This window comes from Homo sapiens, chromosome 6, assembly GCF_000001405.40.
Source record: "Homo sapiens chromosome 6, GRCh38.p14 Primary Assembly".
Taxonomy (NCBI): Eukaryota; Metazoa; Chordata; class Mammalia; order Primates; family Hominidae; genus Homo; species Homo sapiens.
Window position 1 is genome coordinate 125,885,738 of NC_000006.12, and position 27,633 is coordinate 125,913,370.

The following is a 27,633-nucleotide window of genomic DNA, read 5'->3' on the forward strand; positions in this document are numbered from 1 at the left end:
TTTAACTTCTAGGAAAAGCAGTCTCCCTGATTCATGTCCTCCCTCAGTCCTGCATGGAGAGGGGTTTGGGTCTACAGTGTAGTGGTAGCCACCTTCTCATGCTGTGAAGAGGGAGTAATACCAGTTTGCTTTTTCCCTGAAATACAGATGAATATAACTTCAGTCCTGATTACTTTTGCCTTATAATGCTGGATTTATTGTAAAAAAGAGAGGGAAGCTCCCCAGGAAAAAAGAGAAAGCATTAAGAAAGCTCAGGAAATTGATTAACTGATACAGATAATCTGATTTTTACTGTCCTTTCGCTCTACTGTGTCTGTTTCTCTATAAAAGCCAGCAGTAAAAAACTTTAAAAACCTTCAGTGATGGGAAGAGGCAAAGCAGTAGGTCCTAACAGTAAAGAGGGAAACTAGCCCTTGGGGCTTATATGAAAAAAAAAAAAAAAAAAGGAAGTTACTAGGGAAATCCCTGGAGGTTTATGCAAGTAGATTCCCCTGGACTCCTACAGCCATTAGAATCTGGTCCACTCAGCCCTTCCCCAACCTCAAGCCACTAAGATATCACCAGAACATGGGCCCTGAAGTAGTTTCCAAATTTTGCTGCCAGAAGTGTCTAAATGGGTGGCCAAACAAATAGGGGCATTCCCTACTGAAATAGGGCTCCTAATGGAGTAATACCATTGCACATCTTCAGCCTAGGATATTAAGTATTCTATTTAATAATAGACAGTACATCTTTATATAAAAACTTCTCTCAATGTGAGATTATGTTTAATGATCTCGATTACAAGGGATAATGCCATGATTACAGGAAAAGAGCAGAGTTAAGAATCAGCTTCTAATTTGAAATTATTTCAGGGTTGAAATTATTTCAGGGTTGCACATTGATTCCTGCCTTGGATACAGGTATATAAAGGATTTTTAGTCTAATGAACAAGAATGTGTGAGAGTCAGTGTGAAATAAACTTTGTATTGTCTTCAGAACTTCATAAGTTGTTTAAAAGTTAAAAATTACTTAAAACATCATTATTACCAAAAGTTTAATGATAAAACAATAAGTACAAATTACCCAGTGGCAACGTGCAATAGTTTTTAAAAGTGGGTATGTGTAAAACTCCTCCATCCTCACCTTCAAGTTTGGTATTTGTGTGAGAGTGTGTGTATGTGCGCGTGCACACACGTGCAGGACGTTTTGTAGCTCCGGCTGCCACAGTGAGTAAGAAGGTAACAACTGAAAGGATTGTTGATCATCATTAGGTGCCAGGCTAAGTCTAGAAAACATTAATTAACAAACTAGCCAGTTGACAGCATTATGTATGCTTGGCAACTGCACTGCAGAAAAAGCAGATGGTGAAATTAATCTCAAGTGGGGAATGGACAGTTTGGATTAGGTAAAAGAAGAAAGGGGTAGACAAGGTAATCTAGAAAGCTAATTAGAGTGCAGTTGAAGGTATTTTTGTGGGGGTCAAGCTAGGTAGAGAAGGTGAAGAAAGTTTTGCTTATTAATCAAGTATGTGGAAAGTTGGGTTTCTTTGTTGCAGGACTTCTTACAGGCTTTAATATGCCAAATTCAGTTTTGAGTTCCAATAGGGAGATTATGCTACATTTCACTAACTTGTTTGACTCTAGGATGGAAGCATTTTTGACATCTCCTGGGATGCTGATGTTAGGCAGAACATTTTGTGTTTGCAAGTTCCTGCAGAACAGAGATTCTTTCACAGTTGTATTTCAGAATATAGCACTTAGGGGCTCAATGAATGCTTATTAAATTGAAATGAATTATAAATTATGAAGGCTTTTTAAAGCATTTGTTGGAGCCAACCAATTACATAGGCTTTTATTTTCTATTGGAAAAAGCATGAACCTTTCATGCAGATGATTTATAAAATCACTTTGGGAAGACAGTCTTTTGGAACTTCAGAACTTCCTGGTACTTTGTTGCTTTATTGTCATAACCATTTATGTCAAAGCCAAAATAGCAGATAAAGTTTTATCTGAAGATGATCTGACCTTTTTAGAAAATACAATTATTTCTGAAATTGAAATGTTATTCTTTAAAAGGTTTTTATATCTCTGCATTTCAACCCAGTAATAGTACTACTAGTAGTAGTGGTAAGTGGATGGGTTTACTCAAGATATTTCCAGTCATATTTTTTTCTTACACATATTTGAAAGTATTACTATTTTTATTTATTTTCAACTTTTATTTTAAGTTCAAGGGTACATGTGCAGGATGTGCAGGTTTGTTACATAGGTGCATGCCATGGTGGTTTGCTGCTCTCTAGTCATTTTTTTTAAATGTATTTCTTGATCATTTATTTTACACTTGGGAGAACATGTTTAATCAATATTTTCATGTAATTCCGATCTGGGAAGTAAAGCATCTGTTATTAAGGAAAAATAATTGACTGCATCCCAGGACAATATGTTTCAGCTGATAAACGAGCTGCACCATTGCTATAAAGTAAAGCGATATTGTTATGAAATATTTACTTAAGAAATGTAAGTACTATACATAAGAGCTTTTTAGATAAGATTTACTTTTCTATACATTTTTAAATTATAAGATGGAGCAACTGCCGTATACCCACAATAATAGTGGAAGCTTCCTCTTGCATCTCCTTTGGGAGTAGAGGGCTGTCTATGATTAGAAGCATCAGATCCTAAGCCATGAAACCCAGAATCAGGGTTCAAGGTCAGTGACTTTATATGGAGCAGTTAAGTGAGTAGCTACTAAGTCAACGAGCTTTTCAAAATTAATGTAGTTGTTTTCTACACTATTTGATAAAAAGGAAAATGTTTGCACATTTAAGGAATTTTAGACATTGGTACTAAAATATTTCCTCTCCTTTATCCTTTCCTTCATGAAAGTCAGAAACATTATTATTTCATATTTAGAAATCTTATGGGTAACATCTTCATGTTCATGTATAACTTCCAATTCCATCATGTGCTTCCAGTAGGATATGCAACTCTCATGGTTCATTCTTTCTCCATTTCCTTTAGTTGACCTATGTTTTATTTTGAAATCAATTTCTTGATTTTATTTTTTTATTCTGAAATCATTTGAACATAAATTTAAGTTGTGATATATTTATGTATTGGTTTTTGGTTGAGTTTCTGTTTTGTTTTTTGCCTTTCCTCCATTTTGTTTTTGGTTTTATTTTTAACATTCCATGTGCACCCACCATTTCTCCCCCAACAGTGACCTACCTCAGGATCTTTGTCCTCTGTACAGGCCTGGAGAATGGGAAGACCTGGCTTCAGAAAAGGATATCAACCCATTCAGTAAGTTCAAATCTATCAACAAGGAAAAACGACAGCAGAATGGAGAGAAAATTATGACTTCGGATTCCAGACCAATAGTACCTTTGGAGAAGTCCACAGGACATACACCTACAAAGCCCTCAGGCAGCTCTGTGTCAGAGAAATTAAAGAAACTGGACTCCTCTAGGGAGACATCCCATGGTTCTCCCACAGTGACTAAGCTCAGCAAGGAACCTTCCGACACTTCTTCTGCATTTGAATCTACAGCCAAAGAAAACTTTCTAGGGGAAGATGATGATTTTGTTGACTTGGAAGAACTTTCTTCTCAAACTGGTGGTGGAATGCACAAAAAAGACACCTTGAAGGAGTGCCTTTCTCTTGACCCAGAGGAACGAAAGAAAGCTGAGTCACAAATAAACAATTCTGCCGTGGAAATGCAGGTGCAGTCAGCCCTAGCCTTTTTGGGAACAGAGAATGATGTTGAACTGAAGGGGGCGCTAGATTTAGAAACCTGTGAGAAGCAAGATATAATGCCAGAAGTGGACAAGCAGTCTGGTTCGCCAGAAAGCCGAGTAGAAAACACACTGAACATACATGAAGATTTAGATAAAGTTAAACTCATTGAATATTACCTGACTAAGAACAAAGAAGGGCCACAGGTATCTGAAAATTTGCAGAAAACAGAATTAAGTGATGGAAAAAGTATTGAACCAGGGGGAATAGACATTACCCTTAGTAGTTCTCTTTCCCAGGCGGGTGATCCCATAACTGAGGGCAATAAAGAGCCAGATAAGACCTGGGTGAAAAAGGGAGAGCCCCTCCCGGTAAAACTGAACTCTTCTACAGAAGCAAATGTGATTAAAGAGGCTCTAGACTCCTCTTTGGAATCTACTCTGGACAACAGCTGTCAAGGTGCACAAATGGATAATAAATCTGAAGTTCAGTTGTGGCTGTTAAAGAGAATTCAGGTACCCATTGAAGGTAAGCTGTTTTTCTTTAATGCCTTTATATTCTGTTGCATAATTGCCTTTCTACAATTTGCACATGTAATACCCACATTAGTACATTTATTTGAAAACAGTATTTTCTCAATAGAGTGTATCTTTGCTGATAGCATTAACAATTGGGGAGAAAATTTACAAGATATGGTATCTATTTTGGAACTTGGACTGTGACATAGATCTCTAGATACCTACTTCAAAAGTCGTTTACTTTTAATCTTTCAAGTTACTTTCCTTTTTTACCTTTATTTTCTAAATCTAGAGGAGTTTAAACTGTTTTTGAAGAAATCTCAATTCTAAACTGAATTGCATTATGTTATATTGTGTTCTCAGTAGCATTCATTAATATGTATTCCTGTGAATTGTCCCAATTCTCTATTATTTGCTATTCTATTGGTTTTTAAACTTATTTTCAGTATGTAGCAGCTCATGGGATGTAGTTCAACCTGAAACAACCAAAGCTTTTTCCTTGTGTGCTAAAGAAGGCTTGAAAAATTTATTAGTCCTGATACGATGTTGTAGGATGTTTCTGCAATGTTTTGACTAAGAGAGGATTGTGCACTATTTTTTTTAAGTTGAAAAATTCTGCTATTACCAATATTGTCAATATTGAGGAACAGTTTTTTCGTGTGTGATTCAGATATACTTCCTTCAAAAGAAGAAAAAAGCAAGACCCCACCCATGTTCCTGTGCATCAAAGTGGGAAAACCAATGAGAAAATCCTTTGCCACTCACACTGCAGCCATGGTCCAGCAGTACGGCAAACGGAGAAAGCAGCCAGAGTACTGGTTTGCTGTTCCTCGGGAGAGGTGAGTATGGGCTACAATGGAAAGTCTGTGGGTCTGTTAGGTTTGGATGGCGTTTTGATATTCTTTATCTTAAAATACTTAATTTTATTCTTGAATAAGAGCTTTATCTGAATTGTAGATTTTAGAATTCTAGAAGGATATTATTTAAAGGGACTTTCTGCTAAATGGTGGTTTTAATATAACAAATATGGAGTCATCATAGGTACTATGTCCTGAACTGCTTTCATAACTTTCTACCTAGTTGATTTTTAAATGAAAGAAGAATTTGATGTTCTCAAGTACCAGTAATTAGAAGTGCTCTTTCATTGAGGATAAAGGAATACTATGGAGCAGATCCAAACACCTCTTAAGTGCAAGAAAGAGGCAGGATTATAATTTTCAAAGTGCTTATAATTCTAGGGAATGAAAGATTTATTGTCCTTATGGAGGGAGCATCTGTAGCTCAGCAGCATAAGAAATGTGATCCCCTGGATAGTCTCAAGGGTTGTATACTCCTATAAAAAATTATATTTTCAATTCACCAAAGAAGATACCTTCTTGGTTATGTGGCAGTCTAGGATAGGAGGGATAGTGGCATAGAAATTCTTCAACAGTATATCACTGAGGATGTCTTTATAATAAAAATAATTAGGGAATATTCTTTTTAGAAAACAATTAATTGCTTTTATTTCATATATGTGGTAGAATAAAAATGTCTTATAAAGTCCTTGCACTTAGTTTTCAACACTGTTAAAACCATGCATCTTGCCCCTTAAAAACATCATCATCTAGCCAGATATTCTGGCTAACACACCTGCCAAGAGCAAATACACTCAGCAAGCTTCCATAGCATGATTTCTCAGTAAACAAAATTAAATTCTAAGCAAGAGTGCACCTTCTGGCTGACTACTACCTAGAATGATCATTCTTATTGGGAGAGTTGTCTCATTTTAATAAATTATAGTTTAATGTGAAAAATAATAGGCTTTTTATTAATGAATTTGCTAATAGCTTTTACCTGCCTTAGACACAAACCCACATTAACCCAGGCATTAAACATAACTTGTTTTGCATTTATGTAATATACTCCATCACCTGTGCCTGCAGCCCCCACAGCATCTCCTGGAAATTTAGGGATATTGAGGAGAATGAGGAGAAAATGTGTCTCTTTTGTTATCATTTTAAAATATTTCAACAGAAGCAGTGCAGATTTCTGAAGCTCTGTTAAAATTGGAGTCCTAGAATTAGAATTTTACAGCTGAATAATATCTAAGAGATTTAGGCCCATTCTTGATTTTCTAGGTGAGGAAAACAAAGCGCTGAAACTTTCAGTTACATTGTGGGTTGTGTAAACTTGATCATCTATCAGAAAAACTACCTATCATATATATCACTTTTTCTCTGGGAAAATGTATTCTTTATAATATAAGACAATTGTGTTTTTTTCAATTGTGTTATCTTTGCTGCAACTGTCTGCACCAAGGACTCTCGTAGAATAATTGAAGCAATCCCACACATGTAATTATTTTACTGTCATTTTTAACCCAGAAGAAATCTTTAATGGTAAAATAGTACTTCTCTTTCACTTCTTATACCACTTCAAGTGGTTTTTGTGAGCTTTTAAAAGCAGGTCAACTTTGGGAGGCCGAGGCGGGTGAATCACCTGAGGTCAGGAGTTTGAGACCAGCCTGGCCAACATGGTGAAACCCCATCTCTACTAAAAACACAAAAATAATTAGCCAGGCGTGGTGGTGGGTGCCTGTAATCCTAGCTACTCGGGAGGCTGAGGCACGAGAATCGCTTGAACCTGGGAGGCAGAGATTGCAGTGAGCTGAGATCACGCCACTGCACTCCAGCCTGGGCGACAGAGTAAGACTTTGTCACAAAAAACAAACAAATAAACAAACAAAAAAAGCAGGTCACTTGTGGGATTCTGTTATATTGTATTTTATAGTGTCCATTACTTGTTTACCTTCGGGTAGCAAATAACCTGGAATACTTAGTTTTCTTTCTTGAACTAATTATGAATCAACCAAAGATTTTCTTGGAAGTGTTATATTACACTGCGTTAATGACAATAGTTTTTTTGTGTAGATGTTAGGAATTTTTTTGTGGTAATTACTGCTTCATGTGTTTCCATGTCTACCTCCCCTGAAGGGACCTACATTTTAGTTTAAGTAGGGGGAAGATGAAGCAGTCCCATGGTTAATTCTCATCCAGACCTCCACAGTAAGAAATATTTATTTTTGTTTCTAATCCATGAAATTCTTCAGGACTTAAGGCTCAACAGAAGTCCTTAAGGGGGAGCTAAGAAGTGGCATGTACAGCTTTTCTCACTTCAGTTATAATTTCTGGATTCCCTTGCTGCAGCAAACTGGATGTTTCTACTTGCCTTTCTGTTTAATGGATCCATGCATCCACTGGAGTTTCAGTTGCAGAGTGAAGCCACCCTAGGAGTGGCTCCCTTCCCCTTCGTGGGTTACAGTGTCCTTTTCATAGACCTTATAGATGTGACAACTTGTTCTATTTAGGCAAGTCTCTTTGACTTATCCACTATGTTAAAAATTAAAACTCCTTGTCACAGGATAATTAAATTTCGATGGTGAACTTCACAAACATATGTTTCACTGTTCTCTCTATTGTTCCTAATACTTTTTAAAAATGTTTACTTTTTCCTTTATTATTATTACTACTAAAAAGTTAACTGTACCAAATCTCTCCTTCTTTATTTACAATGTACCCTATGGGTTTCCCAACTCCATCACTGAATGAATAATCTACCAAGTAAGACCATGGAGAGGGCGGGGCTGTGGGGGGGCCAGAGGGTGGTAGTAAGGACAGCAACGATGGAAACCTTGCATAGTCTCCGTTAATCTCCTTTGTTTTGGGTAGGTGTTTTTTTCTGTGGCAATTCTTACTAAGTTTTAGATACTAGAAATTAGAGATGTGAAGTAGTTAAAAACTGCCTAAATACGTAATAGTTTTATTTACCTTGGTAGAAGTTGTCAGATCTAAGACCTCCATGAATCCAGGAAAGCCAGCAGTTTCTTCTTGCACACCTGTACACTACGACTTGAAACATACTCAGGTTCACTGAGAATTAAATACTCGTCAACCTTATGTCCTCCCTGTCTCCAGTGCAGCTTGCAAAATCAGGTCATTCTCTTGAGACAGCTGAAGATAATAGTGGTGTGCTGGGGAGATCTGCAGTTTCCACAACTCTACTTATAAACCTGGGAGGTGCTGGCTCCTCCTGCTTTCACTCTTGGTGCTAGTTTAAACATAAGGACAATGTTCCACCATATTTTAATCATCTAGTACAAAATTTCTCAACCTTAACACTATTGACATTTTGGACTACGTAGTTTGTTGTTGGAGGGGGTGGGTGGGGGTGAATTGTATGTTTAGCAACCTCCATGGCCTCTTCCCACTATCTGCTAATAGCATCTCCCCAGTTGTGGTAAACCAAAGTATCTCCAGACATTGCCAAAATGTCCTCTGGAGGACAAAATCACTTCACATTGAGAACCACTGGTCGCGTACTAGACTCGGGCCTCTGTACCATTCTGAAAGTGGGGTTGAAAGCCACAATAGCTAAATAATTTAGAGATTTCACTACTGTCCCCTTCCCTAGAAGAGGTGTGGAGTCTTGGGCTGAAATAATGAGCCCCAGAACCAGGCAGATGTGAATGGGAATCCCCAGAAGTATGGGCCTTTGAATGAGATACTTTATCTCCTTGTACCATAATTTCTTAATTTAAAAAATAGATCAATAAGGACAACGTGAAGTTTAAAGTTCAATGCAGAGGATACCTTACACATTCATCATCACAGACAAGGAGAAGGCAGAAAAGCTAAAGCAGTCCTTGACCCCTGGTTTGGCAGTGAAGGAGCTGAAATGAACCAGACACACTGATTTGGACTGTATTAACCGATTTCCCATTTGCACCAAGAATACTGTGCTGGCAGCAAGCTGTACTTTTTTTTTTTTTTCCTAAATGGGAAATGGGTTAAAATATTTAAAAATTTAAAAATGTAGATGATTGTAAGCATTAAGTAATTAGATCATATTTGAACAAATAATTATTTGGTGCATACTTCCTGGCAGGCACTTATTTACCTAGTTTTAAGTAAATAAGACTGGGACCCTATCCTGAGAACCTTATGAAAAGTGATTGAAGATACTTCTTAACACTTTGTAGAGATATAATATTCCGTGAATTTGGATACTGTTTTATATTTTAAAAACCTCAATTGTCTTTTTCCCCCCTTCCCTTTCTTAATGCTGACAGATTGTCCTTGATTAGAAAGAACCAATAATTCTTCTCTAAAGTAAAACTTTTCTCTTTTTTCCAATTATTTATAGCCTTTTAATCTCTGAAATGTTTTATAATAATTCTATATTATCCAGCTTTTAAAATAAATAAGATGGAAATAGTGTTAAGTAGCAGGAATTATGTAGAGTTTCTCAAGCCATGCATAAATGTTTAATCCAAACTTTTTAAGTTGGTTAGTGTGATTTGTATAATAAGTAAACTAATAAGAAAGCGAAGGGAGAGAAGGAGAAGGAAAGCTCATGGGGTTTAAATTTTTATTTTTGTTTAACTTGAAAAAAAATTATGCTGAGATAACTTTAGTAACACTTGAACATACAGATAAGCCAAAAGGAGATGGGGAAAAAATCTATTTTGCAATTGGCTTTTTTCCCACTTAATATCCTGTGTACATTTTCCACATCATGTGCTGCGTTAGGCCATTCTTGGGTTGCTATAAAGAAATACCTGTGACTGGTTAATTGACGAGAAACAAAGGTTTAACTGGCACACAGTTCTGCAGGCTGTGCAGGAAGCATAGTGCTGGCCATCTCTGCTTCTGTTGAGGCCTCAGGAAGCTTACAACACCAAGGCAGAAGACAAAGACAGTGCAGGCTTCTCACATGGCAGGAGTGGAAAAGAGAGAGAGTGGGCGGAGTTGCTACACACTTTTAAGCACCCAGATCTCGGGAGAACCCACTACAGCAAGGACAGCACCAAGCAATGAGGGATCTGCCCCCACGACCCAAACACCTCCCACCAACCCTCACCTCCAACACTGGGGATTACATTTCGACATGAGATATGGCAGGGTCACAGATCTCAACCATATCATATGCTATGTTAGTTCATATATGTATATATGTGTGTGTGTGTGTGTGTGTGTGTCTGTGTGTGTATATATATATAAAATATATATATATTATATAATACATATATATACATAATACATATACATAATACATATATATATATAATGCAGTTAGCACACCATTATGTTTTCTGATTGATTTAATCATGTACTTACTTTGGATATTAGGTTCTTTTGAATTTTTGGCCATTATAAGCAATGTTACATTAAAAGTATCTGTAAAATCCTTCAGGGAGTCTTATGAAATCCAAGAATATGTTTAAGGCTTTAAATACATGTTGCACATGAAAGTGTGTGACCATATATACACCCACCAGCATAAGAGTATCCTTTTCTCCAGATGCTTGGAACACTGAGTGTTATGATTCTTTATATCTAAGTCAGTAGATGAATAAAGAAACAAATGTAGCTATAAAATGTTTTATTTTAAAGGTGAGTGAGCACTTTTTATATAACATCTGTTTGATATAAGGTAAGGCCAATTGAGGCCGGAGAGTTTTGGTTCTGTGTGATTCCTTTAATAAATAGATTTTATGGCTGGGCGTGGTACGTCATGCCTGTAATCCCAGCACTTTTGGGAGGCCAAGGTGGACAGATTGCTTGAGCTCAGCAGTTCAAGACAAGCCTGGGCAACATGGTGAAATCACATCTCTACAAAAAAATACAAAAATTAGCTGGATGGTGGCACACACCTGTAGTTCCCAGCTACTCAAGAGGCTGAAGTGGGAAGATCACTTGAGCCCGAGATGCTGAGGCTGCAGTGAGCTAAAATCACGCCTCCGCACTCCAACCTTGACAAAAGAGCAAGACCCTGTCTCCAAAAATAAAAATAAAAAGATTATTTATACCTTAATATAAAAATGTATAATACATTTATTTGTTAAAAAGTATTCTAAAGTGCTGTTTCTCTAATTGGCTTCTATTTAGGATCAGCAAACTCATTTATACTCAATAGACAGTTATGTTTTGTGTTTGCACACGTATTTAGGATAAACTCATTATGTATAAGTTAAATTGATTCTGTTTTAGAAAGCATGATAAGTTATTACATAATGTCAAGCATAATTCAAAGTCTCACTATCTCATTATAATATTTGGGATTTTTGTGCTTTCACAATAAAAATGAGTAACGTATACATGCGCACACAGGTATCTGTCAGTTTAAAAGGTATAATCTATGTTGCGTGTATATACCTGATAGTCCAATTTGAGACTAACAGTAGTATTTCCTGTAGTATAGTTCATCACCCAGAGTTCTCCATGGTTGCCTGGACCAAAGAGTAGAACCAAGAGCTCAAGGCCCCTTTTTAAGAAATGGTACCTTTTCTTTAAGTCAACATTTCCCCCAGGATATTCAATGGAAAGCTAGTCCCATGAACAAGCAATGGGTTAGAAAATAGATGTTTCATAGTTAAATATGTTTCATACTTAGTTCTTAGCTCTGTGTAGAGCAGAGCCTTAAGCTCATAGTTTTTATTCCTTAAATAGGCTTCTTTAAGGATTTCTTAGTTTTATTTTCTATTCTCTATTATTTTTCCTGGAATTGGCATAATAGCACACAGTTAATTTTTACTTTATCTCTAATCACATTTTGATTTTATGAGATTACTTTCATATCAATATATATTTAAAGACATGTTAGTTCAATCTCTCTGTTGGCTTTAAATTCTTTACTATAGTAAATGCAAATTGGGATGTATTTCCCTTTTCACATTTTTTTTTTGAGATGGCATTTTGCTCTTGTCACCCAGGCTGGAGTGCAATGGCATGATCTCGGCTCACTGCAGCCTCCGTCTCCTGGCTTCAAGCAATTCTCCTGCCCCAGCCTCCCAAGTAGCTGGCATTACAGGCACCTGCCACCATGCCTGGTTAATTTTTGCATTTTAGTAGAGACAGGGTTTCACCATTTTAGCCAGGCTGGTCTCATACTTCTGATTTCAAGTGATCCGCCTGCCTCGGCCTCCCGAAGTGCTGGGATTACAGACATGAGCCACCATGCCCAGCCCCTTTTTGACATGTTGAGTAGTAGCATCCATACATACTAAGACCATGTAGTAACATTTTGGCCACAAAAGCTATATTTTATTGTTAGGAGTGACTAGTTGATGACCGATCATAGTCAGGATTTTTCAACTCTCTTTCTATCTTCTTTTTCTTTTTCTAAACTATTCACTCTTGGTTCTGGAACATTTAGAGCAAAGCCTGAAAGTCATGAGTACTGAGCTTTTCATGATGTGCCATCCATCTGAAATCTTACTCATTTTTAAAACTATGGGTGCTAAGCTTCATTGGACCCTGATGTCATTCAGGTGCCTGAATTGCAACATTATAAAAGCATCAGATTATTCTGGTTGAGCACATATTTTTACAAAGATCATCCCATGTTATCTTCATCATCCCAAGGAGAATTTCTACTCTTAAAAACTCAAAGAGGAATATCAAAGAAATTAACCCACTACCTCAGCTATCAGTTTGCCCAGAGCTAAATCAGAGAGCATTAAGAGAGCAGATTGGGCAACAAATTGATGCCCTTCTTGACTTTGTGCTACTCTGATTGTGAATGTAGTACTTGAAAATAACAATTTCCTATTCTTTAGTTCCTCTTCTTAAAACCTATTTTGTACCATATGTCTATGATAATCTTCTAAAAAAAAACTATTCTGATCTTGTTTCATTCCCACAAAAATATCTTAAGCCTTCAGGACTCATGTCTAAACCCCTTCTGTATTTTTAAAAACCCTTCATAAAAGTGCTAGGATTACAGGTATGAGCCATTGTGCCCAGCCTATAATACATATTCCTAAACATTAGTTGGATGGGTTCATGAATAAATGAGCTTATAATCTAATAAATAAAAAATGTATTTGTTATTTCTTATAATTAAAATTATACAGACTAATATTTAGAAAATACAGAAAAGCAAAAAGAAGAAAATTGAAATCTCATAGTTTTGTTACAGAGAACTAACTACAATTCATTTTATCTGTATAGCCTTTTAGCCTTTCTTTCAATGCATGGATTAATGTAATAATACTATATAGATCATACATATATAGTATATGTAAATTGCTTTTCCTTAAAAATGTGTATTTTTCTGCCATTAAATATTCTATTCACATGCATTTAGTGAGCATGAATTATTTTATAATGAGAATCATAAAAAATAAAATTGATTCCCTATTAAACTTGTTTTACAATGGAAAGATGTTCAAATCCTAAGGACCTTCATGAAGACAGCAAAATGCTCTTAACAGCACCTTTTCTTAGAAATAAGGGATGAATTAAAGGAATTACAAACTGACCTAGTTTTCTAGCATGAAATCTTTAACCATAGTTAATGTGGAATTTTCTGATCAAAAGTCACCTTGCTTCTACTGGGATCACAGCTAACCTGGAATCTTTAATGCCTCCTGGTGCCAAGAAGACCATAATCTTGAACATTTTTTAGTACTGTACTTGCTGGAACAACTGAGGTCCTACTCAGCCATACCAGGTATATATCAGAATACAAACCCTGTGATTCGTAAGTACCACTTACCAATGTGTTATACTGTAATTTTATGATGATTCTTTAAGTTGAAAGTCACTAGTAAAGAAAAAACCCAAACAAGATCTCCAAAACATCCCTGAAAGAATTGTCTTCTTGTCTTCCTATTTAGTATGAATTTTGGAAAACCCCTAAACAAATATGTAATTATTGATTATTTTATGTTTTAAAGTGACACTGCTTGCTCTCCCTTCCTGATTATTTTACCTTTTTTTCATCAACTGAAAATTCCAGAAATTCATTACCCTCCAAAAACACCCTCTTAGGCAACCACCCCCCAGTAACTTCAGTAACCAGCTTTGGCAAATACCTTGAGTTAATCATTCACTCTACAGTCAGACGTAAGCTCATGAAAAAATAATCTTCTTTGTAAGTGAGCTCTTCACAGTGCTTTCTGGTGGCGGAGCAAGCTTGGAGACAAGTAGCTTTGGAGAATAGCTGAGGGTCCATTTCCACTGCAGACTAATCCCTGCCAATGGGTGCTGCACACAGTGTTTGGGAGTAAGTATGCAGAAACAGTAATGATTGCAAACCTAAATGCCTGCAGGGGCTGTGGAATGGGGGTAAAGGAAGCATGAGGCCAGGGTTAATTATAGAGCTCCTTCTCTACCAGTAGGGGCTGTGGACCTCTGTAGCTAGGTGGGAATGGGAACACAGGCCTGGGGTGTTGCTACATCTTCTCATCTTTTTCAAAAAGGAAGCCGAAATATCGATTAAATATATTAAATCTCCCCAGTTGTTAAGTATTGTCCACTGTTTAATTTTAAAGATAGTGAGCAGAGCAAAGAAAACATATTTACTTCTGAATCCACGCTATGGGCTGCCAGCCTGAGGCCTCTGGCATTGATATTAATATAAACTTTTACGTTTTTATTCATTTTCAAGTAATCCTTTTTATAACCACAACTGCTGTTTTGAGCTTTCTCAACAGAGCGTTCCTATTATTTTTGGTGAACCAAAGAGTATTTTTCTTTCCAGCTTTATTGAGATAGAGTTGACAACTTAAAATTATGTATTTTTGAGATGTTCAACCTGATGATTTCATGTATGTGTACATTGTGAAATATACATCACAATGGAGCTAATTAAACATCCTCATTACCACACAGTTAGTTGCCATTTTCTTCTTTTTTGGTATGTGTGGTAAGAACACTCGTTAGCAAAAAAGGACCTGTCTACAATGCATTGTTAATTATAGTCACATTGTTGTACATTAGATTCAAAGAAGAGTAGTTGGTTTGTAAATAAATAAAGTTGTTTTTTTTTTATAGACACACTAAGACCCTTTAAAAATGGACATTATACCTGGGTATTACTAACCATTGATTTAATTTGGAGTTTTAGAATACTGAAACTGGAAGAGGCCCTACAGTGCAAGGAAAATTACCTTTTTCACATGAGAATTTCCAGCCAGGCCATTAGGACTGGATTTTTAAAGGCAGTCGTTTTCTAGCAGCAACCTCTGTGGTGAAAACTGCTTTGCCCTACTGGGCTTCTGTAGCTGTTTTCAGAATGGAACCCCCAGAAGTTTTAGACAGACATGCATTTGAATAATTTATGATGGACAATACAAGTGACCAACGAAACTGCATGCATATGCGTTTCAGTACTTTCTAGGGCACATTCTTCTTTCCTTTCTTTACATGTCCTCTTTCAGTATTTCCCATTCTCTGTGCCATAATATACTCTGAAGTATGTTTTTAATGTAATAGCTATTAAATTGTTTAATGGTTCCTGCTTATCAGTTTTAAGTCAAGTGAGTTTCGGGATTATATTTTGCTGTGTGTGCCCCCAGTTCCTTTTCCTACCAGTCATGCAGCTTTTGATAGGGCAATAATTCCTTAACTGTTCTGGGTTATTTTGAGTACGTTTGTTGGTTTACAACAATGTAAATGGCAATGAGATGAGAGAGTTCCCTTGACCCCTTTGTGGGACTTGCAACAGGGATATCACCTTTACTCAGCTGCTGCACTGAAACCCCTTGCAGGAGGGGGAGCACGCAGGTGAGTGGGTACAGGAGCTGGGGCGGGTGCCTTTGGGCACCAGTGGGAATGAACCCTGTACCAGCCCATAGTAGCGTCTAGGGGTTGCCCACGACCACTGGAGCCCCAGAGGTCATAGGTTACAAACAGTGCTCTTTTAGCATTTGCCATCCATGGATGACTAAGTGTTAAACCAGCTTAGTGGAGAGTCAGGGTGATAGCCCTTTTCACCCTGCCCTCTTGGTACCCGGGTTCTTGTCCAGCATCCAGGAAGAAATCAGGTCCCATGGCCTTGAAGGATGGTGAATGTGGAGATTTGATTGAGCAGTAGAAGTGGCTTTCAGTGGGATGGGGAGCTGGAAAGGAGATGGAGTGGGAAGATAGTCTTCCCCTGGAGTTTGGCCAGACCTGGCTGAACTCCTCCGACCGTCCCCGACCAAACTTCTCTCTGACTGTATTCTCCAATGTCCAGCTGCCTCTTTTCCTCTCAGCATTCAGGCGCTTCTTCTCATCTTTCCTCTGCTGAGCCACTCTGCTTCTCTGCCAGTGGAGCTTGTGGTTTTTATGGGTGCAGGGTAGGGGGTGTGGCAGGCCAAAAAGTAACATTTGGGGGGAAAAACGGGGATGTGAAGTTCTCATTTAGGGCCACAGGTCCAGGCTTGAGGGTGGAACCCTTGCAGAGACCCCACCCTTTTTTACCTAGTATTTCTCTGCCTCCTGTCTATATCAGCAAGATTTTAGATCCTCATGTAGAAGAGACTTTCTAAAAGATCTGTCCAAAAGTAGAATGAACTTCCTTGCGTATTTAATAATCCAAACACTGATAGGGTGGGCTAAGTTTTCTTATCTTCATTTTGGAAGCTCAGAGAGGTTAAGGAACTTTCCCAAAACCTCCAGCTAGTAACAGGCGGAACCAACTTGGGAATTCAAGTGTTTGACTTAGAAATGTATGGTTTTTAAACTTTAACTCATAGCCATGTTTTTTTTTTTTTTAAAGTGGGGATGGAAGGGAAGCAACAGTAAATTAAATCCTACCGTAACTAGTAGTGAATCTTGTTCAATAAACTAGATTGTAATTTTACCTAAAGTCCATACACCTAAGGCATGAATGGTAGGTAGATATATGGTTTGTTTCAAGCATCAACTCTCCAATTTTTCATCAGATTTTCAATCCTTAAGCCCTGGAGCTTTGTCAGTGACAGGCTTTTATGAACTAGCAAAACCAGGACAGTGGAAGTGACCCTAAAAGAAACAGTAAAGCATATTGTTTAAGACCATGAACTGACCTTGTGTTCGTCCCAGGTCCACCCCTAAAATGCTATGTGACCTTGGGTGACTTAATCTATGTAAGCATCTGTTTCTCATGCATTAAATAGGAATGATCATAATAGTGCCTACCTCACGGGATTATAATGAGAATAAATTAGCATGCCCATGTATTAAATGAAAATTAGTTGCTGCTGCTGCTGCTATTACCTCTCCTTCAATCTGTTGTGCTTTGTTGCCTGAGTTAGGTGCTGCCTTCCAAGAAACTATCATTTACCTTCTTTGAATTTCTTCTTTAGAGATGACAACTCTATCTGCTAAACAGGGATTTGTAATTTGAATATGGTGTCTCCTTTGGGATAAATCCCTAAAGGAGCCTTGTATTGAAGATAAAGACCTTTGAGGTGTATGAAGAAATCTGATTAAGGCCAAATTTGTAATTAAACAGAAAACCTAAACAAAGGTGAGGGCCAGATTTTAGATGGGTTGATTTTGTGCCTGGCAGAGCATGTATGGCAGGTTTCTTCCCATGCCCTCTGCCACACCTGGGGTCTGGCCTTGACCATCTCCTGCCTGGATCACCATTGCAGCCATAGCAACAAGGCCTTTATTTCTAGTTGATCCTGTCTCTTCCTGGCCTTCCCTACTTGGCTCCACAGCAGTCCTTCTCAAGCACAGATTTGTCCATGTCTCTTCCTGCTAAAGCTATGAACGCATGGCCTCCCTGTGCCTGTGGTTTCCTATGGCAGCTTCAGCTATTCACATACATTCCCTCCCTCACAAATATCCCTAGATCTGCCTACCATCTATACTACTGTTTACTTAATGGTTGTCTTTAAAGGATTTAAATAGTAATTTTTTTTACTTAGTCTTTTCCTAAATAGCAATATCTGTGAAATCAGAAAAATAATATGCTAGTAGTACTTATTTTTACTACCTTCTTTTTTTTTTTTTTGAGATAGAATCTTGCTCTGTCACCCAGGCTGGAGTGTAGTGGCATGATCTCAGCTCACTGCAACCTCCACCTCCTGGGTTCAAGCAATTCTTCTGCCTCAGCCTCCCAAGTAGCTGGGATTACAGGTGTGTGCCATCATGCCCAACTAATTTTTTTCTAATTTTAGTAGATACAGGGTTTCACCATATTGGACAGGCTGGTCTCGAACTCTTGACCTCATGAACTGCCCACCTCAGCCTCCCAAAGTGCTGGGATTACAGGCATGAGCCACTACCCTTTAAGTACATATGTAAGTATTAAAATATGTTCTTCTGCATACCCTCTGAAGTCACTGGGACTGCCCCACCACACTTCAGGAAACAGTGGCCACAGGCTGAGTTCCAAGTATTTTATCTTATGCTTGGGACTTTCTGTGACCTAGTGACCCACCTGCTCTGTCTTCTTTCTTCTTATCTCCTACCTTTCCATTAAGCAAATGGTAAGTCTTGTTCTTTTATTCCTCCTCTCAGGAATTCCTTCCCTGCCTCTTGAGTTCCTATTCAACACCAACATCCCAGCTCCGATGCCCCTCAGCTGTTGTGTTGGCACTGTGCTAACATTTTTTTGTTTACTCTCCACCACCTGAGCACCTTGAGGCAGGGCCTGGGTATCCTGCATCTCTGTCCTTTTTACAGAATTCTTTGTCAGAAATCACCAGTGATCTGATGGCATTGTCCTCCTTTTGCTCTGCCATGTCCACTTTGACCTCACTGCAGCATCCCCCTGGTCTTCCAATGCCATGTCTTTGCATGGGTTCCCTCCAGTAGAATGCTGTTTCTCCTTCCTACTGTAATGGACTCTTCTGCCTCCCTCAACACCCAGTTTAACCATGGCCCCTGGGAAGCCTTCCCCTACCCCAGCCTTAGACACTTCACTGGGCTTACCTTTGCCATGATTCTTAATTTAAAAAGAAAGCAATAGTGTGAGCACAGAGCCAGAATGGACACTGGCTGCATTTTGGAGACTGGTGCAAAACAAAGCTCCCAGGCAGCCCCAAAGAGGTCACATTTATCCCAAAACCTATGAGGAGACATTGGGAAAACATTACAGGCAGTTAGGTGAAATGCTCAGGTTTGCATTTTATGAGCTCGATTTTGCCTGTCTGCTGTTTCTTCTTGGCCTTGTGCTAGGACGGCTCTGCTTTCTCCTTAAATATTAGTGGTTTCTTGGGACCCAGTACTTGACCCAGTTCTCTGTTCATGGGTGTTACCACACACCCACTGCTTCAGCAGCAGGTAGCAGCCAGGGTGAGTAATTACTAGTAATTCTGTTCACTCATCCATCAGCCCTGCTTAGTGTCCTGAGGTAGTGGAAGCCCAGAGAAGCTCAGTGGTTCATCCAGACCACAGCGTGAGTCACAGAGAGTTTCCAAAAAGCCATTGACAGACCTGCCAAGGTTAAAACGGGTGATGACTGAGATACTGCTGATGTTTACAGTGGATGATCTTTGAGAAGATCAGCTTCACTAGAGTGGTGAGGGAAGGAATAAGATTTTTTTTTTTTTTTTTTTTGAGACAGAGTTTCACTCTTGTCGCCCAGGCTGGAGTGCAGCGGTGCGATCTCGGCTCATTGCAACCTATGCCTCCGGGGTTCAAGTGATTCTTCTGCCTCAGCCTCCCAAGTAGCTGGGATTACAGACCCCTGTAATGCCACCATGCCCAGCTAATTTTTGTATTTTTAGAAGAGATGGGGTTTCACCATGTTGGCCAGGCTGGTCTAGAACTCCTGACCTCAAATGATCTGCCTGCTTCGGCCTCCCGAAGTGCTGGGATTACAGGCGTGAGCCACCGCACCCAGTCAGGAATAAGATTTTAAAACCTGCCACCTTCCAGAAAATACCGGAGCCAGGTTCGATTTAACAAAGGGCATATACAGAAAGGTGAACAAAATCAGAATAGAAGAGTTCAGGAATGAAAAGAAATTGGGAAATCTGCCAGCCCAGTTGTCAACAATACACTCTAAAGGGAAAGTGAGGTGTGGGAGGGACTTTGGGAATAAATAAAATCCGAACCCTTTTTTAAAATTATTTATTTATTTTTACTATTTTTATTTTTTGGAGACAGAGTCTTGCTTTGTCGCCCAGGCTGGAGTGCAGTGGCATGATCTCGACTGACTACAACCTCCGCCTCCTGGGTTCAAGAAATTCTTGTGCCTCAGCCACCCGAGTAGCTGGGATTTTACAGGTGTGCACCACTACACCTGGCTAATTTTCGTATTTTTAGTAGAGATGGGGTTTCACCGTATTGGCCAGGGTGGTCTCAAACTCCTGGCCTCAAGCAGTCCTCCCACCTCGGCTTCCCAAAGTCCTGGGATTACAAGCATGGAATTTATGGATCCAGATGAAGGAGATAGGGGAATGGAAAGGTCGCAAGGTGGGGTGGTGGAAATAATAGAGGAAATTCACCAGGGAGTGGGACCCTTAAAAGTACAGAGAGGAGGGTTAAAACAGGTCAAAGAGCAGTTACTCCTTTTGAAGAAAAAGAGTGCTAAGAGGGATGGCAGAGGGAACACATTTTAAGAACAGTACAATAGAGAATCTTCCATTCCGAGAGGAGGCAGGTAGGAGAGTGGGGTGAGCTTGAAAAAATAGAGGCTAAATATGTACTGTGTAGAGTAGGAAAGAAAAAAAGCTACAGGTGAGTACGGAGCTGCACCAGGAGAGGGTTTTTCCTAGCCAAGATTAGCTGCCTTTGTAGTGGACCCATTAAGCCCAAATAAGCAAACCTAGCTACATTCATCATCCCAAGAGAAGAGCTGGAAAGATTATTGTGTTTGTTTCTGTGGGAAGTTTGGAAGGGCAGGTGCAGAAGGATCGCTGCTGTAGGCCTACCTCTAGGGGGCACTGGTGAGGGTGAGCCTGAAAGAGAGATCCTAAAGTATATGAACCCAGAAGAGGCTGAAGACTGGGGAGAGAGGAGGAAGAGGGGTCAGGGCGGGAGCATAGCTGGTATAGCCAGGAGAAAGATGTGGTTTAGATGGAAGGCAGAGGGATCAGAAGGGGAATTTCAGAGCTTGAGGTCTGTTTCCAGAGGGCAGAGTTGAGTTCTGGGAAATGACCCACTAGGAAAACCCAGTGAATGAAAAGAACATTCCAATAATTAGGTTAAATAAACAAGGCAACCCTAACCTAGAAGGAAAAACTATGAAGTCATATCCTCTCCCCCAGGTAAATTGTAAAAATAACCTAAACAAAAGATAGAGAATTGAGCGGAAGGATTGCTGGGAAGAGGGACATTGACTCCTTCCACCTCGTCTCCAGAGGACTTAGAACTTAAGTAAGCAAATTGATTCTACATGAATCTTAATATCCTCTTGTGGGACAGGCCATGTCCCTTCTTCATTCCTCCTCCTCTTCCCTCAGAGGCATAGCATGAGGGCCCTGTCTACGTGAGAGAATGAGGGGATATTATGCGGGAGGCTACTGTTGAGGGAAATAGGAGTCTGCCAGTGCCCTGAACATCTCAGAGGAAAGAAGAACAAGCATTTGCTGGCAGAGTGCCCCATTGCAGATGTACCTTTGAGGTTTCCCATCTCACCTCCGCTGAGGCTGCCCAAGGTTTGGGCGACTCTAGTGACTGCAGAGACAGAGGGTACCACCTGAGCGATGGGGGAAGCATTCAGGGCGGCTTCCCCTTCACACTCCCCAAACACAGAGCACAGCACTGACGGGCTGGCTCCGGTGGTGCTGTGAGTCCCTCATCAGCGGAAGGTGCAGGAGCGGGAATAACAGGGACTGAGCTGCATGTGCCCTAAGGGCCACTCGGGACATCTCACTAATACTCCTTTAGATTTATTAATGAAACCTAAAGCCAAGGAAGTAGTTGGCCCATACTATGACATGAGATCTGACTATGGACAGATACTAAAATGTTCCCCACCTCCTTGGACTTAGCATTTATTTTAAAAAAGCGGGGGTTGGGGAACAGCTTAGAATTACTGGAACGTTCCTGGGGATGGGGTGTTTGGGCACATTATTGAGTCTTACCAACTCTCAATTTCCTTAACTTTAAATTTGGCACAGTAATACATGCCTCATAGAGTTACTGTACAATGTAAGGTCCTTGAGGCAGGAAATCACAGCTTTTCTTTTTAGGTAGATGGTATATTTTACCAGCATTGGTTAAAACATAAGGTTGCTTTTCTGCTTAATGTTAAGTGTTTACGACTCTAAGCCTCTATTGTGTGATATATTGAAAGTGCTTTTTCCTTTTCTCTAGAAACCTTCCTCCAGTGGTAAGTCCCAAGAAAGCCTGTGCTTACTCAGTTTAAAGGGCTGGCCATGGCTGCTGCAAAATAGTCCACTCTGGGAACAAGCAAACCCAGAGCCTAGATTTACTACTCACAGAAAACCCAGCAGTTCCAAAAGAGTAGGCTTGGGATATGCCCCCTTACCTGGTCACCCCAGATTCCTGTCCTAGGCTGAGATATTTCTTCTAGAGAAAATGGCACCAGCAGGTAAGAATGCTTTATGCCAAAATTGACACCCCAGTACACTCCATCTCACATCTTCTTGTTAAACCTAAGAAACACACACATATGCACATGCAGCCATTTCCTTCCATAACATGCCCACAGTGGCAGGGGGCTTGATCTAAGTTTCAGAATCAGTAGCACACCATGCCTCAATTTGTCTGCTCCTAAAATGGTTATGGCAAGACCCGACCACTTCTCTAACCCCTTTGGAGAGTTTCCCTTCAGGAACAATGGAATAGAGAAAGGGATGTTGTCTTTTTCTGTTGACTTTCTAGGACCACCCTAATTCATCAGAGAAGCTCTAATAATATTGAGATCTTCAAAAGAGATGGTATTAGGCGTTTGATTCCTCCTCAGGAAATCCTACAGACTTTATATAAATCTTCCTTCTCCCTGACCTACTACCCCATCCACCTTCCCGATGGGTTGTAGGAATGATGAGTGGTCTTCATCAAACAGGGTGTACTCAGTCATACCTCTCTCCAGAATACTAAGTCCTACTTATATCTGCATAATTAAACAGGACAATATAATCATGTCCCTGAGCAACTTGATGTTTTTGTCACCAGAAAGGGAAATGACTAGCAATTGCTAAGATAGTTTCTCTCCCTAAAATCTTAATTGACCTGCACTTTTCACACTTTACGTTTTCTTGCAATGTCTAAGAAGAAATGAAAGCTTAACTCCAAATCTGTGATTGATTCTTCATTCCCTTGCAGTCTTGCACAAGAATATTTGATTGCATGAACTCAGCATTCTCAGAACATTTCCTTTTTCACTCGGTGTCTATGATTGTCCAAAGACTTTCCCAAAGTAGAGTAAAATGTTAGAGGAAAAATGAGTAGTGCCTAATGGAAAGTGGGTCCAAAAAGTGATTTAAAAATGTGTCTTGTGTTGTAACTAGAAAATTAACTGGGAAATGGTTCAGAAACCACTGTGGAATGAGAGGAGGACTTTTTAGTGTGATAGAAAGAACGCTGATTGCCACCTCAGGAGATCTAGTCCTGGCTGTGATCCTGATGTTTTCATTCAGAGCCCTCATTCTCTGATACCTAAGGAAAGTCAGTTGAATGAAATGCCATCCAGTGTCCAGCTCTAACATTCCAGAAGGGAGGCTTCATGAAGGCAGGGTCATTGGCACACAGTGGGTGCCCAGGAAGTGTTGTCAAAGGAAGCAATGCCCTCTAGACAAAGACCAGCAGGAACACACCTGTAATTGAGTAAGTCAGGTTAACTTGTTGCAGTGAGGGAGAACACACACAATATAGGGAACCATGGGTTACCTCAGAGGATGTTAGAAAGGAGTGGCTCATGCCTGTAATCCCAGCACTTTGGGAGGCTGAGGTGGGTGGATCACGAGGTCAGGAGATCGAGACCATCCTGGCTAACATGGTGAAACCCCGTCTCTACTAAAAAATACAAAAATTAGCCGGGAGTGGTGGCGCATGCCTGTAATCTCACCTAGTCAGGAGGCTGAGTCAGGAGAATCACTTGAACTCGGGAGGCAGAGGTTGCAGTGAGCCGAGATCGCACCACTCCAGTCTAGCCTGGGTGACAGAGTGAGACCGTGTCTCAGAAAAAAAAAGAAAGGACTTATGGGATTTTGGTTTGTGTTAGGTGATTTGAGGGAGGATTCAAGGAAGCAGGGCCTTGCTCTAAATGGGATGCTGTCAGGAAGTAGGGGTAATTTTAAGATTGGGTATTTTATTAAATCCTATCTAGAAGGAAGGAAGACTGGAGAGACTAATGCTATAATTGGGAAGGAAGCACAGTCATTCTCATTACCCAAATTAGGGAGACGTTTGGTCATTTTTGTGGCTGGATAATGTTTGTGTTGTTTGTGTTCAGCTCTGATTACAAAGTTGTCTTGTTTTTGTTGTGATTCATCATGGTCATAGAATGGCCTTATTTAGTGTGGATGTTCTGGAAAATTATATTAAATAGGAAAACATCGGGCATAGCTGTGAATGCTAAGCCGGCTCTTAGTAACACTGAGGCCTGGCTGATAGTACCAGGCTAGTTCTCAGATATTAGGGACTGCATGCCTTTTTCTCTCAAGTCAGCTAGCCAGCAACCTATTAGGAACCACTTATGCCCATACATTTTATCCAGTGTGGCTATGCACATAATATATATTTCCTTTTCCAAAAGTTATAGTGAAGCATAGTTCATTCTCAACTCTATTTCAAAACATATTTAAGATGGACTAAATTTTTAAGTATTGAAAAAACTAAGATTTATAATTGTATCTTTGTCAAACCTCTCTGGAGTGATGATTTATTTCATGTTTTCTAAGTTAACTTTTAATAGGGAAGTTAATTCTACACGGCAAAAATAGTTCAGTGGTTGAAGAGAGAGAGATAGCTGGTGGGAGGGTAAAAATAATATAATCCCTATACAGCAGAATGTGAGGTTGTATGTGAAAATGACAAGTTGAATTGTTGCTTTCACAATGCAATCCTACTTCTGAGAATGTCCTGTGGCTTCGCCTGTACACATGTGAAATGAGTCACATGCAAATTTAATTCATCATAGCATTGTTCGTTATGGTACACTCTTGAAAACAACCCAGAGAATGGCTATGTAACTATAATAAATCCAGTTAGTAAAGTACTATGTAGCTGTAAAATAAAGAATGAGGGAGCTGTCTATATACTGGTTTGGAAAGCTATCTAGGATATGTTATTAAATGAAAAAGCAAGATAAAGAATAATGTTGGGGTGATCAGACCCAACACCAGGTCGTGGGGGTGACAAAGTCAGCGGAGTCAAAGGATTGAGAAAAAGACAGTGAGAGAAAAAGGTGGGACACCAGAGGACCATCATTATTGTATGGAGGCTGCAAAGGCCCCGAGTTCTGGGAGCCCACGGTATTTATTGGTAATCCAACAAAGAAACAGGTGGTGAGAATGTGGAGGTCAAAAGAGCACATTGCGTTAAGCACATGATTTACAGCTGTGATGTTTAGCATTTATATGGAACATGTTCTGCTACTTGAGATAATGGGAATAGGAGCCTAGGAGGGCTAGAAGCAAGGAGCCAGCAAGTCTAGACACATTCCAAAGGACATTATGCAAGCCCTGCCTCAGTTTCCCTCCCACCACTCAGCTTTTTCGCAACATGCCTCCCTTCTCTTTTTTGTAAAAGAGGAACTATCATTATTACTGTCATTATTACTAGCATAAGAGGTGGCCTCTTTTAATTGAGCAAGGCACTTGCAGGCTGTGCAGCCCTTTATTGCCAGTCGGTGATCCAGCTTCATTTTTCTTAGCCCTTATTCAAACTGGAGTCGCTCTGGTTTGAATGCTTACCACATACCTCCCCTTTCCCTTTTACAGGAGGACCCTTAATCCTAGGGGTTGCAGAAGGATGAAGGTCCATCTTCTGTAACTTCTTCATGCTGAATAGGGGCAATGATACTCCTGCCTAATTATTAGGGTCTCTTTTATTCAGGGTAGAGAGGAGCTGAGTCAGAAAGCATTGGTCCATTAAGCATCGTGACTCTGGTCGGTCTTCGTTCCATCTTCGCAATCAGATTCAAGTGGCTCATGGCTCGTACTGGGGGAACCCGGTCCATGGTTGGGATCCATGCTCCCGTTCCATGGTCGTACACATCTTGAGGGCATCCACACGGTTTGTTCATCTCCTGCAAAAACACAAGCATACCCTCTCCCCCACGTTAGTAAATCTACTGAAACAGAAGCAAAAACTTGTTGTGGTTGTAGCTAGGAGGCATGCCGTTGCTGAAACATTCGTTAACTCGGTTTCTGCCTCTTTGGTTAATTACCGTGAGGTAAAACTTTCTACTGATAATGAGAAACAGGCCTTCTCTGATTAACAGAAGGCATAGAGAAAGCAAATCGAGGCTTTTCAGACCTTCAATTCGTGCTGTACAGGCGGGTCCACTAGATGCTGTGGCTCATGATAGATCTTCAGATGTTTGGTGGGCACCCACACAGGCACCTGATTGTCACCTGGAGAGACACAAGCAGATCCTCTTCCCCATAAAATTATCTTTAGGCAGGGATTGGAGGAAGTAGATTCAGAGGTAAGGAAAATTTTGGGGGCCTAATGGCTTCCTAATGATTGATAGGTGTTCCCTCGGAAGTTAGGAATTCCCTTTCTCTCCATATTGCTGCGTGGGCATGGAGGACTAGGTAAGCATACTAAGAGTCTATATGTATATTTACTCGTTTTCCTTCTCCTAATTGGAGTCAAAGGATTGAGAAAAAGACAGTGAGAGATAAAAAGGTGGGACACTAGGGTGTCATCACTATTGTATGGAGGCTGTGAAGGCCCTGAGCTCTGGGGGCCCACGGTATTTATTGGTAATCCAACAAAGAAACAGGTGGTGAGAATGTGGAGGTCAAAAGAGCACGTTGCATTAAGCACATGATTTACAGCTGTGATGGCTTAGCATTTATATGGAGCATGTTCTGCTACTTGAGATAATAGGAATAGGAGCCTAGGAGGGCTAGAAGCAAGGAGCCAGCAAGTCTAGACACATTCCAAAGGACTATGCAAGCCCTGCCTCAGTTTCCCTCCCAACACTCAGCTTTTTCCCAACAAATAATAATAAGACAAAAAATACATATTCATATTTATATCTACATAAACACTACAAATATAAGAAGTGAATAAAGTGGTCACCTATGGGGCTTGGGGTAGACAGGGATGTAAGAAGGAAACTTCTTATTATATGCCTTTTAAAATATAATTTTGATGTTTGAATCATATAAATGTATTACCTATTCCAAATATTAAAATAATTTAAAGATAGATATATATACAATATAAAATGTATTTCTCCCACCCCATTCCATTCCCTGGAAGTAACCATTTGGATCTGTTTCTTTTATAGCCTTTCAGAGTAGTTTATTGTATAACATTAGTCAAGGTTCTTCAGAGAAACAGAACCAAAATGTGTGTATTATACATAGAGATCTGTTTTAAAGAATTGGCTCATGTGATTGTTAAGGGCTGGCAGGTCTGAAATTTTCAGGACAGGCTGTCAGGCTGGAGACTGGGGAAAGAGTGGGTATTGCAGTATCAAGCCTGAAGAAAGTCTGAAGGTAGAATCCTTCTTCCTTAAGAGACCTCTGTGATTTTCTCTTAAGGCCTTCACCTGATTGGATG

The 27,633-nt window shown here is 39.7% G+C and overlaps 1 protein-coding gene across 17 annotated transcripts in view, besides 1 other annotated feature; it reads left to right on the forward strand.

Annotated features, from left to right (window-relative positions):
- The window catches only part of NCOA7 (nuclear receptor coactivator 7), a 150,920-nt gene that overhangs the window by 104,623 nt on the left and 18,664 nt on the right, over positions 1-27,633 (forward strand). For 9 of the 17 annotated variants that reach the window (XR_007059204.1, XM_047418206.1, NM_001199620.2 and 6 more), the window contains 2 exons: positions 3,202-4,244; positions 4,905-5,073. Coding sequence is in view for 16 of the 17 variants with exons in the window: in XM_047418206.1 (XP_047274162.1) it covers positions 3,202-4,244; positions 4,905-5,073 (1,212 nt within the window). In the remaining variant the exon portion in view is untranslated. The remainder of the gene's footprint in view (positions 1-3,201; positions 4,245-4,904; positions 5,074-27,633) is intronic. The other 8 variants (XM_047418207.1, XM_024446332.2, XM_017010270.2 and 5 more) reach the window with 1 other exon arrangement.
- Positions 24,797-24,846: a silencer, noted in NCBI's record as "silent region_17523". NCBI's record gives its function as "represses an Ori minimal core promoter by ATAC-STARR-seq in GM12878 lymphoblastoid cells {active_cell/tissue: GM12878}" and the evidence as "EXISTENCE:reporter gene assay evidence [ECO:0000049][PMID:35858748]".